This window comes from Homo sapiens, chromosome 12 (genome assembly GCF_000001405.40).
Source record: "Homo sapiens chromosome 12, GRCh38.p14 Primary Assembly".
NCBI lineage: Eukaryota > Metazoa > Chordata > Mammalia > Primates > Hominidae > Homo > Homo sapiens.
Genome location: NC_000012.12, coordinates 55,803,588 through 55,817,862, shown reverse-complemented (window position 1 = coordinate 55,817,862; position 14,275 = coordinate 55,803,588). Strand labels below are relative to the sequence as shown.

The 14,275-nt window shown below is 43.3% G+C and overlaps 1 protein-coding gene across 3 annotated transcripts in view; it reads left to right on the top strand.

The window, feature by feature from the left end:
* The first annotated feature begins 138 nt into the window (after positions 1-138).
* The window catches only part of SARNP (SAP domain containing ribonucleoprotein), a 65,262-nt gene continuing 51,125 nt past the window's right edge, over positions 139-14,275 (top strand). For all 3 annotated transcript variants that reach the window (NR_026722.2, NR_026723.2, NM_033082.4), the window contains exons 1-2: positions 139-197; positions 14,135-14,234. Coding sequence is in view for 1 of the 3 variants with exons in the window: in NM_033082.4 (NP_149073.1) it covers positions 162-197; positions 14,135-14,234 (136 nt within the window). In the remaining 2 variants the exon portion in view is untranslated. The remainder of the gene's footprint in view (positions 198-14,134; positions 14,235-14,275) is intronic.

Sequence of the window (14,275 nt, the reverse complement as noted above, 5' to 3'; positions counted from 1 at the left end):
AGTGAGAGCGACGTCAGCTATTGACCAATGGGAAGAGCTGATGGTATGGCGTGGGAGCAAGAGTGACAACGATTGGTCAGCCTTGCATCTCTACGCCTAAGGCGGGAGCTCCTGGAGGCGGAGGCCGCGGGTGGGGGCCTAGTGGAGTGAGGGGTAACAAGATGGCGACCGAGACGGTGGAGCTCCATAAGCTAAAGGTACCGTGAATCGGGGAAGGGCTGAGTTGGACTTTTCTAGGAACTGAATTCTACAGGGTAGCTTGCGCCTTCTCCTACGTCTTCTCCGTGCAGCCTTTTCCACTTCGTTTCTCGGCTCCCGCCGTAGCTCTTTTGTGCCACCCTTCCACACTACGCCTTCCCTAATTTCCCATTTCTCCTCACGGCTTTACTGCTATATTTATTTGTTATTTCTGCTTCCTTCATCATTGTATCGTCCGTCACCCTTCCCCACTGGGTTGTGTAAGTGCCTTCTACCTGTTATACTCTTCGTTGCTTTTCAGGGCTGCATTACGTCAGTTGGTCCCTCCTTTTTGCCCCATGTCGGAGCCAGGATCCGTTTTTCTTCCCTGGGATGATGTTTCCAGTCTGTCGTCCGAAGCTGAGATTTCCCTGTTAGCAAATGGTGGCATTTTTGTGTATTTCTGTCTAAATAGGTACCAGACACTCAGAAAATACTTCCACTCCCCTTTTCTAGGTGGGATTACGCCCCAAGCCGAATTTTGAAACAGGGAGAGGCCTCTCAGAAGATCGGTCTCGCCTTAGAAGCCTGGGGTTGAGGAGGTCTTGAGAATAGTAGAAGTACAGACACCTCAGATTTAAAAGTTTTCGAGTTCTGTCACGCGGCTCTCGGCCCGCCAGCCTTCCTCACACACCATCTCCAACCACCAGAGAGAACTCACACCTGCAATATTTGGGAAAAACAATTCCAAGGTTAAGATTATCTCTGTTCCATTTCATATCTCGGGTGGGCCCTGCATCTCCTGGTGTTACCATTGGCTGACACTGAATCACAGAAGCTATTTTAAATTGTCTTATGAGACTCTTGGTAGTTTTTTCACACTTAGATATATAAAAAAGTTAAAAAAATATATTAAAAAGAAGAACATTTTAAAAAGTATTTTCTTTTAGGGTAAATTAAGATATCTTGAGTAATTGTCTGTTTGTGGTTTCACAAGTAGTTTTCCCATTAGATGTTTTGGACAAACCAGGCTGATATAGCTGAAACTGAAAAGTGATCCTTTAAAGCTCGAAAAGTTTTTTTTTGTTTTTGTTGCTGTTAAGAAAGCTTAAGGGTAGTAAGGGTAGGGAGAGGACCCTTCTTTAGTCACTTATTAGTTGACCCCAATTAGTCTTTCTGTGAAACTGATGTTTTTCTTACTCTTGGATTCTAAACTCTGTTAGTGGGTTTTTGTGTTATTCTGGAGTTATTGTTAACTTGATGATACTGAAATGCATAGACTATATCAGCGGTCTCTTGATCTTTATTGTGATGAGTTAAAAAAAATTGAGCAATCATCTCCACTTTGTTTATATATACTGTACTTATAGAAATTGTATACTTCTGGACTGTTATAAAATATAACACAGAAAAGGAATTTTTGAATGAGATAAAAAGGAACTATATATAGAAGAGCTAATATTTTCTTCCTATTTGTCCTATTTTTGAAATCCCTGGAGTAAGTCACCAGCTGCCCGATGACTTACTTGCATTTATAGATTGTGTTGGTTTATGGAGTTCCTCCTTCCATCAAATCTGTATTTGTCAGGTCTATATAAAATTTGTATTTGATTGGATAAGTAACTTTTACGTAAAGTCCTCTGACCTGATTTCAGTGTTACAGTCTAAGAGAACATTAGGCACTCCTGACAGCCTAAAAAGGACTTGCTCTTTAATCACATTTGCTTGTCTTTGCTTTTTCTCTAGAGCACTTCTTAACCTTTTGGAGGTCACAGATATCTTTGAAACTCTGATGAAAGGTATGGACCCTCTCCCCAGAAAAAGGCATGTACACATATTTTGCATGCAGTTTGAGGGGCTTCATAAAACTACCTTGTAGCCCCGAGGAGTCCATGGACCTCTGGTTAAGAACTCATGCCTTTAGCTGGGCGTGGTGGCTCACGTCTGTAATCCTAGCACTTTGGGAGGCCTAGGCGGGCGGATTGCTTGAGGCCAGGAGTTCGAGACCAGCCTGGGCAACATGGCGAAACCCCGCCTCTACCAAAAATGCAAAAATTAGCCAGGTGTGGTGGCAAGTGCCTGTAGTCCCAGCTATTGAGGAGGCTGTGAGGAGGCTGAGGCACAAGAATCGCTTGAGCCCGGGTTGGAGGTTGCAGTGAGCCGAGATGGTGTACTGCACTCCAGCCTGGGGGACAGTGAGACTCCGTCTCAAAAAGAAAAAAAGAACTCATGCCTTTGATTCTGATTTTTAGGACAATTAATGTTTGGTTCCACTGGTGATCTTGATGCAATGATCCTGACTTCTGGGTTGACTTGGGGTTTTATTGCCTTAAAAAAAAATCTTGGCTGGGTGCAGTGACCCACACCTGTAATCCCAACTCTTTGGGAGGCGGAGGCCAGGAGTTTGAGACCAGCTTAGGTAACATAGTGAGACCCTGTCTCTACAAAAAAAATTAAAAAATTAGCTGGGCATGGTGGCACACACCTGTAGTCCCAGCTCCTCAGGAGGCTGAAGTGGGAGGATTGCTTGAGCCTGGGAGGCCAAGGCTGTGGTCAGCTGTGTGATAATTGCTCCACTGCACTTCAGCCTGGGTGACAAAGGGAGACCTTGTCTCAAAAAAAAGAAAATAAAAAAATCTCTCCATTGTCATAAAGAGAATTTTGGGCTTTGGTATGGAACCTCAGGGGAAGGGAATACCTTTTGAAGCAGGAAGGAAACATAGTATGTATCTGAGTTGATATGTAATGTCATATCAACAGCAAATTTCTGAGGATTTTGTAGAAATGCAGTCATTCTTTTTTTTTTTTTTTTAAATTGAGATGGAGTCTCGCTCTGTCGCCCAGGTTGGAGTGCAGTGGCAAGATCTCGGCTCGCTGCAACCTCCGCCTTCCAGGTTCAAGCAATTCCCGTGCCTCAGCTTCCCGAGTAGCTGGGATTACAGGCACGTGCCACCATGCCTGGCTAATTTTTGTATTTTTAGTAGAGATGGGGTTTCACCATGTTATTGGTCCGGCTGGACTTGACTGACCTCAGGTGATCCTCTTGCCTTGGCCTCCCAAAGTGCTGGGATTATAGGCATGAGCCACCACTCCTGGCCCATACTAACACATTTGGAAAGAGAGATTGAACTGTGGATGAAAATGGCTTGAACTGTAACAGTATCAGATATCCAGTCAAACATTAGAAAAGGAACTATTGCAGAGGAGAGGAGAAAGTGATAGTAGTGTCAGAGTGTTGAGAATAGTGAGACATTTGTATTGAAAAGTGAAGTGAGGAAATATATTGGTAGTTGAAGATAGTTTGGAAAGGAAAATAGGTAAACTATAAAGGTAAATCAGAGTGATATTGAAAAGGGCTTTCTAAGTTATGTAAGGACTTCTGGCCTTTGTCATGTAAGAAGTAGGGCTGGGAGCCTTTGGAAGTTTGAAAGGAGGAGCTTGATGTGATCAGCTTGTATTCTCTTGGCGGATGGGATTTGTAGGGGGAGCGATTTCACCACTTAGATATTTATTATAGGAGTCATTCCCCTGCTTAAAACCTTTAAATTATATCCCTGCCCGTCTCTCCAGCATAGTTACTAACTCTTCAACTACTGTGGCCTTATTTTATTTAATTTCTTCAGAATGCTTCATCAATTGCCAACACTTAGCATTTGTTATGTGGCAAAGCACTGTTTGAAGCCATTTACATACACTAACTGATTTAATTCTCATAATAACCCTGTAAGGTAAATACCTGTATTATCCTCATTTGAAAATAAGAAAAACCATAGCTCAGAGAGAGTAACTGAGTAACTTGCCTTAGGTTGCACAGCTAAAATGTTGTATATTAAATCCAAGCAGGCTGGGTGCAGTGGCTCACGCTTGTAATCCCAGTACTTTGGGAGGCCGAGGCAGGCGGATCACCTGAGGTCGAGAGTTCGAGACCAGCCTGACCAACATGGAGAAACCCCGTCACTATTAAAAATACAAAATTAGCTGGGCGTGATGGCACATGCCTGTAATCCCAGCTACTCGGGGGGCTGAGGCAGGAGAATCACTTGAACCGCGTAGGTGGAGGTTGCGGTGAGCCGATATGGCACCATTGCACTCCAGCCTGGGCAACAAAAGTGAAACTCCGTCTCAAAAAAAAAAAAAAAAAAAAAATTCCAGGCAGCCTGTGTCCAAAATTCATGTTCTAATCATTGCACACTGCTTCTCCCTCTTACCTCAACCTAGAACCTTCACATATGCTGCAATTGGAGTTTTCTTTCGGCTGTAGTACTCCGGCTGCCCTTCCTCCCTAACACGTTTATCTAATTAATTACTACACCCCTTTCAGGTGTTTCACTCAAATATTATTTACCCAAGGAAGCTTTCTATGTTCTATCCACAAACATGGTCAGGCCACTTTTTATATAATTTCATAAGACCCTGTGTGTTCTTAAAAAATCAGCTAAACATGCCGGGCACGGTGGCTCATGCCTGTAATCCCAGCACTTTGGGAGGCCAAGGTGGGCAGATCACGAGGTCAGGAGTTTGAGACCAGCCTGACCAATATGGTGAAACCCCATCTCTACTAAAAATACCAAAAGTAGCTGGGCCTGGTGGCGCGCACTTGTAATCCCAGCTACTCGGGAGGCTGAGACAGGAGAATCACTTGAACCCAGGAGGCGGAGGTTGCAGGAGCCGAGATCGCGCCATTGCACTCCAGCCTGGGCAACAGAGTGAGACTCCGTCTCAAAAAAAAAAAATCAGCTAAACGCTATCTGATCATTGATTGGTTTGTTCTCTGCAAGATTGTAAGCTCGGAATGGGAAGGACTCTTATGTTTTGCTCATGATTATTTCCCTGTATCCAAGATAATACTTGATAATACAGTAGGTGCTCAATAACGATTTGTTGAGTGAATAAGCATGTCAAGACTTCAAAAGAATGGGAATGAATTTGAAAGACATTTAGGATGTAGTAGAATTTCAAGTATTTATAGATCAGTTAGATATGGGAAAAATGAAAGATGACTCCAGGGTTTGGGTAGTGATACCTTTAGTCTGGGTTGGGAGGAGGAGAAGCCAGTTTTGCACAGAAGAGGTAAGTTCATTTTGAGGCTTAGGTGTCTGTGGGACATCCACTTGGACATGTCAGGTAGTCAGTTGGAAATGTGGGTCTTTCACTCAAGAGCTGAAAGCTGATGATGAAGACTTGGGATTTATTCAGAAAATATGGAGCACCTGCCATGTCCCAGTTACTGTGGGTGCCAAAGATACAGCAGTGAACAACAGAGACAAAATCCTTGCTCTCATAGAGCTTGTATTTTACTGAGGGAAGGCAAAATAAAAAGTAAAATTTATGGTATGTCAAATAGTGATTGATAAGGCACATAGAGAAAAATAGGAGAAAGGAATAGGGAGTACAATGGGAAGGGTATTGTAATTTTAAATAGAGTGACTGGGGAAGTCATTAACAAGGAGATGTTTACAAAAAGAGTTGAAGGACGTGAAGGAATGAGCTATGTGCAAAGTGTTAGAGGAATAGCACAAGACCAGTTTGGCTTATCAGAGTGAGCAATGGTAATAAGGTAATGGTAGGGGAGGGCAAAGCTGCAGGGCCTTTTAGGTGATAGGATTCAGCCTTTTACCCTTAGTGAGATACGAAACCAATGGATGATGTTTGACTAGAGGAGTGACATGTTCTGACTTAAATTTTCAAAAGATCACTCTGTTACTTTGTTGAGAATAAACTATAGTGAGGCAAGGGCTGAAGAATTTTGACAATAATCTGTATGAAAGAAAGACTAGAGTAGTAGCATTTGCCGTGGTGAGAAGGGTTTGATTTTGGATATATTTTAAAGATAATGCTGATAGACTTTGCCGCTGATTGAAATCGGGAAGTGAATTAGCCTTTGATATATGTGGAATGACAAGACGCCCAAAGAAGGAATCTTAGTGAATATTTACAGGTTTGAGTGGAAGAAGAGCTAGCAAGGAGGCTGAGGAGGAGAGAGTGAAAGAAAGAAGTGCCAAGACTTTGGCAGTTAATATTGAGCATAAATCAGAGACACTTGAGCTGGCATATTGGTCTACTATTTACAAGCTGTGGTTTGTTTGTTTGTTTGTTTGTTTGTTTGTTTGTTTTTTGAGACAGTGTCTCGCTTTTTCTCCCAGGCTGGAGTGTAGTGGCACAATCAGGGGTCACTGCAGCTTCAGTCTTCTGGACTCAAGTGATCCACCTCAGCCCCTGCTCCCACCCAGTAGGTGGGACTACAGGGGCACACCACCACACCTGAACTGTGTATTAATTTTTTAATTTTCTGTAGAGACAGAGTCTACCCGTGTTGCCCAGGGCTGGCCTCAAACTCCTGGCTTTGAGCAATCCTCCCACCTCAGCCTCCCAAAGTGCTGGGATTACAGGCATGAGCCACCACACCTGGCCAAGCTGTGTGATATTTAAGCAAGTTATTGAATTTCTTTAAGCCTAATTGTAATACCAACCACTTAGGTTCCTTGTAAGGATTTTGAGTTCCCATCATATATGTTATAGGTGGTCTAAAACATCTCTGCCTTCAAAGAATTTACAAACTATATGTTGACATAACATGAAAAAGATGATTTCTTTTTTTTTTTTTGGGATGGAGTCTCGCTCTGTCACCCAGGCTGGAGTGCAGTGGCGTGGTCTTGGCTTGGCTCACTGCAACCTCTGCCTCCCGGGCTCAAGCCCTTCTCCTGCCTCAGCCTCCCGAGTAGCTGGGATTACAGGTGCCTGCCACCACGTCTGGCTAATTTTTGTATTTTTAGTAGAGACAGAGTTTCACCATGTTGGCCAGGCTGGTCTTGAACTCCTGACCTCAGGTGATCCGCCCGCCTCGGACTCCCAAAGTGTTGGGATTACAGGCGTGAGCCACCGCGCCTGGCCAACGTGAAAAAGATTTCTGATAAAATATTTTAATCAAAATTTGGCCGGGTGTGGTAGCTCATGCCTGTAATCCCAGCCCTTTGAGAGGCCGAGGCGGGAAGATCACCTGAGGTCAGGAGTTCAAGACCAGCCTGACCAACATGGTGAAATCCCATCTCTTCTAAAAAATACAAAATTAGCTGGGCATGGTGGTGCACGCCTGTAATTCCAGCTACTGGAGAGGCTGAAGCAGGAGAATCGCTTGAACTGGAGAGACGGAGGTTGCAGTGAGCCGAGATTGTGCCACTGTACTCCAGCCTGAGTGACAAGAGTGAAACTGAGTCTCAAAAAAAAAAAAAAAAAATTCAAGGTCAGTTAACTAGAAGAAATCACAGGGCAAGCTGGGCACAGTGGCTCACGCCTATAATCCTAACCAACACTTTGGGAGGCTGAGGCAGGAGGATCACTTGAGCCCAGGAGTTTAAGAACAGCCTGGGCAACATAGTGAGACCTCATCTCTACTGGAAATAAAAAAATTAGCTGGCTGTGGTGGCACACACCTGTGGTCCCAGCTATACAGGAGGCTGAGGCAGGAGGATCATTTGAACCCAGGAGGTCGAGGCTGCAGTGAGCTGCGATTGCACTGCTGCATTCCAGTCTGGGCAACAGAGCAAAACCCTGAGTCAAAATAAAAATAAATAGAAATCACAGGGCAATGCATGATTAATGTCAAATGTATGATGAGGGTAAGTTGATATGTCTTTTCTCTGTGGGTTGGATAGGTAGAATGGAGAATGCTTTATTGATACTGAAAAATAAGATTTAAAAAACTTTTTGAATAGGTAATCATGCACAAGTTCACAAAAGAGTATATGGTAAAAAGTTTCTTTCCTACACTTTTCCCAAACTAGCTTCCTCTTCTCAGATTCAACCAGTGTTAACTTACCTGTTTCTTCTCCAGGCATCTTGTTTATACACATTATACAGAGATGTGTGTGTATTATTTTTTACATTAATGTTAGTATCCTTATAGAATGTTCTATAACTCTTTTCTTTTTTTTTTTTGTTTTTTGAGACAGGGTCTCCCTTCTGTCGCCCAGGCTGGAGTGCAGTGGTGTGATCATGGCTTACTGCAGCCTCAACCTCCTGGACTCAAGTGATGCCCCTGCCTTAGCCTCCCGAGTAGCTAGGACTACAAGTGTGCCTGGCTAGTTTTTTGTTTTTTGAGAGACAGGGTCTCACTGTGTTGCCCAGGCTGGTCTTGAACTCCTAGGCTCAAGTGATCCTCCTGCGTCGACCTCCCAAAGTACTAGGATGACAGATGTGAATCACTGTGCCTACCTAGCTGGTTTTTTTTGTTTATTTTCTTCTTGGGACAGGGTCTTACTGTGTTGCCCAGGCTGGAGTGCAGTGGCATGATCATGGCTCATTGCAGCCTCAGCCTCCCAGACCCAAGTGATCTTTCCATCTCAGCCACCTGAGTAGCTGGGACTGTAGGCACATGCGACTATGCTCGGCTAATTTTTTTTTTTCAATAGCCTTACTGAGATACAATTCACGTACCATACAATTCATTCAGTATACTTGTTAAAATATTTTTTGTTTGTTTTGAGATAGGGTCTCCCTTTGTTACCCAGGCTGGAGTGCAGTGGCATGATCTCGGCTCACTGCAGCCTCGACTTCCTGGACTCAGGCCATCCTCCAGCTTTAGCCCCTCAAGTAGCTGGGACTACAGGCACATGCCACCATGCCTGGCTGTTTTTGTATTTTTAGTAGAGATGGGATTTCAACATATTGTCCAGGCTGGTCTCGAACTCCTGGACTCAAGTGATCTGCCCACCTCTAGCCTCCCAAAGTGTTGGAGCCAAAACATTTCAAATCAAATCAAATCAATTTAGAAAAATGGGATAAGATTTTATGTTAGTTCCTATTTTAAGTTTTAAAAGGTTTTAGTTCTGCTAATGTAATTGTGCTGAAATACGTGCAAAAAGAAATTACATCATTTTCAGCTGTTTTATGTTTTTATTCATCTGTTTCTCATTCATTCATTCTTTTGAGGCCAGGTATTGCTGTGTTGCCCAGGCTGGAGTACAGTGGTGTGATCACAGTTCATAGCAGCCTTGACCTCCCAGGTTCAAGCGTTCCTCCCACCTCAGCTTCCCTAGTAGCTGGGACCACAGGCGTGTGCTACCTTGTGTGACTAATTAAAAAAAAAATTTGGCTGGGCGTGGTGGCTCATGTCTGTAATCCCAGCACTTTGGGAGGCCGAGGCGGGTGGATCACCTGAGGTCGAGAGTTCGAGACTAGCCTGACCAACATGGGAAAACACTAAATTAGCCAGGCATGGTGGCGCGTGTGTGTAATCCCAGCTACTCGGGAGGCTGAGGCAGAATTGCTTGAACTCGGGAGGTGGAGGTTGCGGTGAGCCAAGATCACGCCATTGCACTCCAGCCTGGGCAGCAAGAGTGAAACTCCATCTCAAAAAAAAAAAAATTGTAGGAACAGGGTCTCACTCTGTTGCCCAGGCTGTTCTTGAACTCCGGGGCTCAAAGCTGTCCTCCTGCCTCAGCCTTCCAACTTGCAGGGACTACAGGCATGAGCCACCATGCCCAGCCTCTATTTTCCTTTTAAAATAATGTCTATTTTCCTTTTAAAATAACGTCCTAGTATATGAGAAGAACTCACTATATAACAAAAGAAGTAATACAACTATGTAAAAGCTGTGTGTAGGCTGGGCACAGTGGCTCACGCCTCACTACAAATGATATATGTAAATGTTAAGTGATCTGTAAGTGCTGGGATTACATACGACTTTTATTTTCCTCTAAACTTTTCAGAATTTTCTAACTATTCTACAGTGAACATAATACTTTTATAACAAACAAAAAATTTAAAGTGTAATTAAGATCAAAAGACTTGTTCTCCAGGAAGTGGGAAGAAAATAATGTATCAGTGTGAGAAAGATCAAGATTCTTAAAAAAAATTTTTTTTTTTTTTTTTTTGAGACAAAGTCTCGCTCTGTCACCCCGGTGGAAGTACAGTGGCACGATCTCGGCTCACTGCAAGCTCCGCCTCCCGGGTTCACGCCGTTCTCCTGCCTCAGCCTCCTGAGGAGCTGGGACTACAGGCGCCCGCCACCGCGCCCGGCTAATTTTTTTTTTTTTTTTTTGTATTTTTAGTAGAGACGGGGTTTCACCGTGCTAGCCAGGATGGTCTCTATCTCCTGACCTCATGATCCGCCTGCCTCGGCCTCTCAAAGTGCTGGGATTACAGGAGTGAGCCACCACGCCCGACCAAAAATTTTTTTTAATAGAGATGGCATCTCATGGTGTTTCCCAGGCTGGTCTCTAACTTCTGGATTCAGGCAATCCTCCCGCCTTGGCCTCACAAGGGGCTGGAATTGTAAGCATAAGCCACCAAGATCAAGATTGTTACTTAATAAATGGACATTAAAGATCACTTATAATGTTACTTAAGGCGTGGTTCACAGTCCTTGGGGTGCTGGTCCATGAACTAGCTGTTCCTGGTTAGTAGTGAGATAAATACAAAAACCGAGTGTAAGCTTTTAGAAAGTTTTATAGCAGTTTGATGTCACTGCTATATCCAAGTCACTACGCTCATTTTTGTAGTAATTGATTTTTATTGTTATTGCGAAAGTATTGCTCCGTGACCTGATTGGAATATTGTAAAAAGCAACCTTATCAGCCTACCTATTTAAAAGTACATTGAGCTGGGCACAGTGGTGTGTACCTGTAGTCCCAGCTGGAGGTTCGGGTGGGAGGATTTCTTGAGTTCAAGAGTTTAAGTTCAGCCCGGGCAACATGGCGAGACCACTGTCTCTAAAAATAAATAAAATAAAAAATGCATTGATTTGTGAAACTCTCAAATCTGAGACCAGTGATTTAGTACTTAATAAATATAAAGCATTTTTTGGCTGTCAAGCACTGTTCTAAATGCTTTATAAAATTCTTGATTTAAGGCCGGGCGCGGTGGCTCATGCCTGTAATCCCAACACTTTGGGAGGCGGAGGCAGGTGGATCACAAGGTCAGGAGTTCGAGACCAGCCTGGCCAATATGGTGAAACCCCGTCTCTACTAAAAATACAAAAATTAGCTGGACATGGTGGCATGCGCCTGTAGTCCCAGCTAATCGGGAGGCAGAGGTTGCAGTGAGCTGAGGTCGTGCCATTGCACTCCAGCATGGGTGATAGAGCGAGACTCCGTCTCAAGAAATTTTTTTTTTCCTTTAATTTATGGTTCACACCTGTAATCCCAGAACTTTGGGAGACCAAGGCAGGTGGATCACTTGAGGTCAGGAGTTTGAGACCAGCCTAGTCAACATGGTAAAACCCTGCTTCTAGTAAAAATACAAAAATTAGCCAGGCATGGTGGCACATGCCTATAATCCCAGCTACTCAGGAGGCTGAGGCAGGACAGTTGCTTGAACCTGGAACGCAGAGGTTGCAGTGAGCCGAGATCATGCCACTGTACTCCAGCCAGGGCACCAGAGCAAGACTCCGTCTCAAAAAAAAAAAAAAAAATTTTTTTTAATTTAGTCTTCATAACAACCCTATGAAATAGGTACTGTTATCATTCCCATTTCACAAGTAAGGAAACTGAGGCATAGAGAGGTGAAGTTATTCACATAAGGTTACAAGTAGTAAAACTGGAATTCAAACCTAAGTAGTCTGGCTTCAGAGGCTATGCTCTCCAGTCACTCTGCAGTCATTTTTTTTTTTAAAACTGGCAAAAGCCTTAAAAATAATTTTTTTTTTTTTTGAGACAGAATTTTGTTCTTGGCATCCAGGCTGGAGCGCAATGATGTGATCTCGGCTCACTGCAACCTCTGCGTCCCAGGTTCAAGCTGTTCTCCTGCCTCAGCCTCCTCAATAGCTGGGATTACAGGCATGTGCCACCATGCCTGGCTAGTTTTGTATTTTATATTTTTATTTTTATTTTTATTTATTTTTTTGAGACAGTCTCACTCTTTCACCTGCTGGAGTGCAATGGCACGATTTTGGCTCACTGCAACCTCCGCCTCCCAGGTTTAAGCAATTCTTTTGTCTCAGCCTCCTGAATAGCTGGGTGAATATAAGCACCTGCCACCATGCCCAGCTAATATTTGTATTTTTAGTAGAGACAGGGTTTCACCGTGTTGGCCAGGCTGGTCTTGAACTCCTGACTTCAGTTGATCTGCCTGCCTAGGCCCCCCAAAGTGCTGGGATTACAGGCGTGAGCCACCGCACCTGGTCTAGTTTTGTAGTTTTAGTAGAGACAGGGTTTCACCATGTTAGCTAGGCTGCTGTTGAACTCCTGACCTCAGATGATCTGCCCGCCTTGGCCTCCCAGAGTGCTGGGATAACAGGCGTGAGCCACTGTCCCTGGCCTAAAAATAATTTTTAATGGGTGATTACCTACCATGTTCCTCAGTAGAGGTTGCTTTCAGCTTGTTGGGTTGGGCAGTTCTGTTCATAGCATCCCTGCCTGCCCGCCCCACTCACTAAATGCTTTGCTAGTCGTTGTAATATGTTTTATTTATTTTATTTATTTATTTTTGAGACGGAGTCTCGCACTTTCGCCCAGGCTGGAGTGTAGTGGTCGATCTCAGCTCGCTGCAAGTTCCGCCTCCAGGGTTCACGCCATTCTTCTGCCTCAGCCTCCCGAGTAGCTGGGACTACAGGCGCCTGCCACCACGCCTGGCTAATTTTTGTATTTTTAGTAGAGACGGGGTTTCACTGTGTTAGCCAGGATGGTCTCGATCTTCTAACCTTGTGATCCACTCGCCTCGGCCTCCCAAAGTGCTGGGATTACAGGCGTGAGCCACCGCGCCCGGCCATTGTGATATGTTTTAAAAAACTCTCCACTTTTCATTATGAAATGTTCTCCTAGCTGAAAAACGTAGAGATGCAGAGCATCCTCCATAGTTGTAAAATTTTTTGTCTATAGGAGTCTGCCTTCTAGCTTCTACTGATTGGTCATAGATCTGTACTCCAAAACAAAAAAGGTCATCTTTCAGACCAAAGATCTATCTGTGTGTTGATCTGCATATAGAATTTCTGGAGCCTTTCTTTCCTGCTTGTTCTCCTGGGTCAGCATGTCGTTGTGCTTCGTAAAATAAGAGTATAGAGCCCAGTAAGGCCATTACATCGTTTATTATGGAGTCTATATTTCAGTTACCTATGACTTATAGGTAGCAAATCATACTGTTAACCTTCTTTGCCTAAAATTCTGATGTCTTTATCCTTTGAGTTACTATTGAGCCAATCCTCCCTTACCCAGTTTTTATATAACTGAAGTTTTGAATCTAAGTGTAGGAAGTTATATGTATACCTTATTCCTACTAAATTGAGTCTTTGTTTTGGCTTATTATTAGTCCTGAAGAAGTGTTTTTTTTTTTTTCTGTTTCCGTGTTGCATTTTTTAAGCTTAGTTATGTCAATAATCCATCAATTCTCCTTCCTCCTATTGTCTGTAAAATTGATGAACATAGCTTTTATATCTTTAGATAAGTTAAATCTTCAGCAGAACTCTATGGTATGCCATTAGATATTTCTTCCCATTTTGACACAGATCCTTTAATCAATTCATTGTTCACATTAGCTAATGCATCTACCTAATTCTATGGTGGTTAGACCTGTATGCATGTATATGGTAGATTGTAATAACGGATCTGGGATAATAAGTGGTAAGGAGAATCTGCTTTTAGATCATTGGATTTTCTACTTGAAGGTTCATTCTTCCAATATGCTGGCTGCCACAGTAGTCTTAAGAAAAAAACCTTTTTCCCCCCTCAGAATATTTAGAAATAACTAGAGATTTGTGACAGTTAGTAGGTATACAAATAGATGAGGTTTTTTATTAAAGTGTGATGTTTATTCTTCAGCATCTGTTAGGCAGTTCCTCTTGTATATTGAATATCGTTAGAGGAAAATGGATCATCTTTGTGGACCTAGAGCCTTGGTAGAATTAAGGGCAGTAATTTGGGATGGAACTTCATTTTCTTTTTTTCTTTTCCTTGTGGGAACTACCATTTTATTCACTGGTGTTCATCCTGTTAACTAAGGAAAAGTTTTATTTTTTTCCCCTCAGCTTGCCGAACTAAAGCAAGAATGTCTTGCTCGTGGTTTGGAGACCAAGGGAATAAAGCAAGATCTTATCCACAGACTCCAGGCATATCTTGAAGAACATGGTGAGTACTTTGTGGAGGCGGAGTGATGTGAGTGAGGGGAT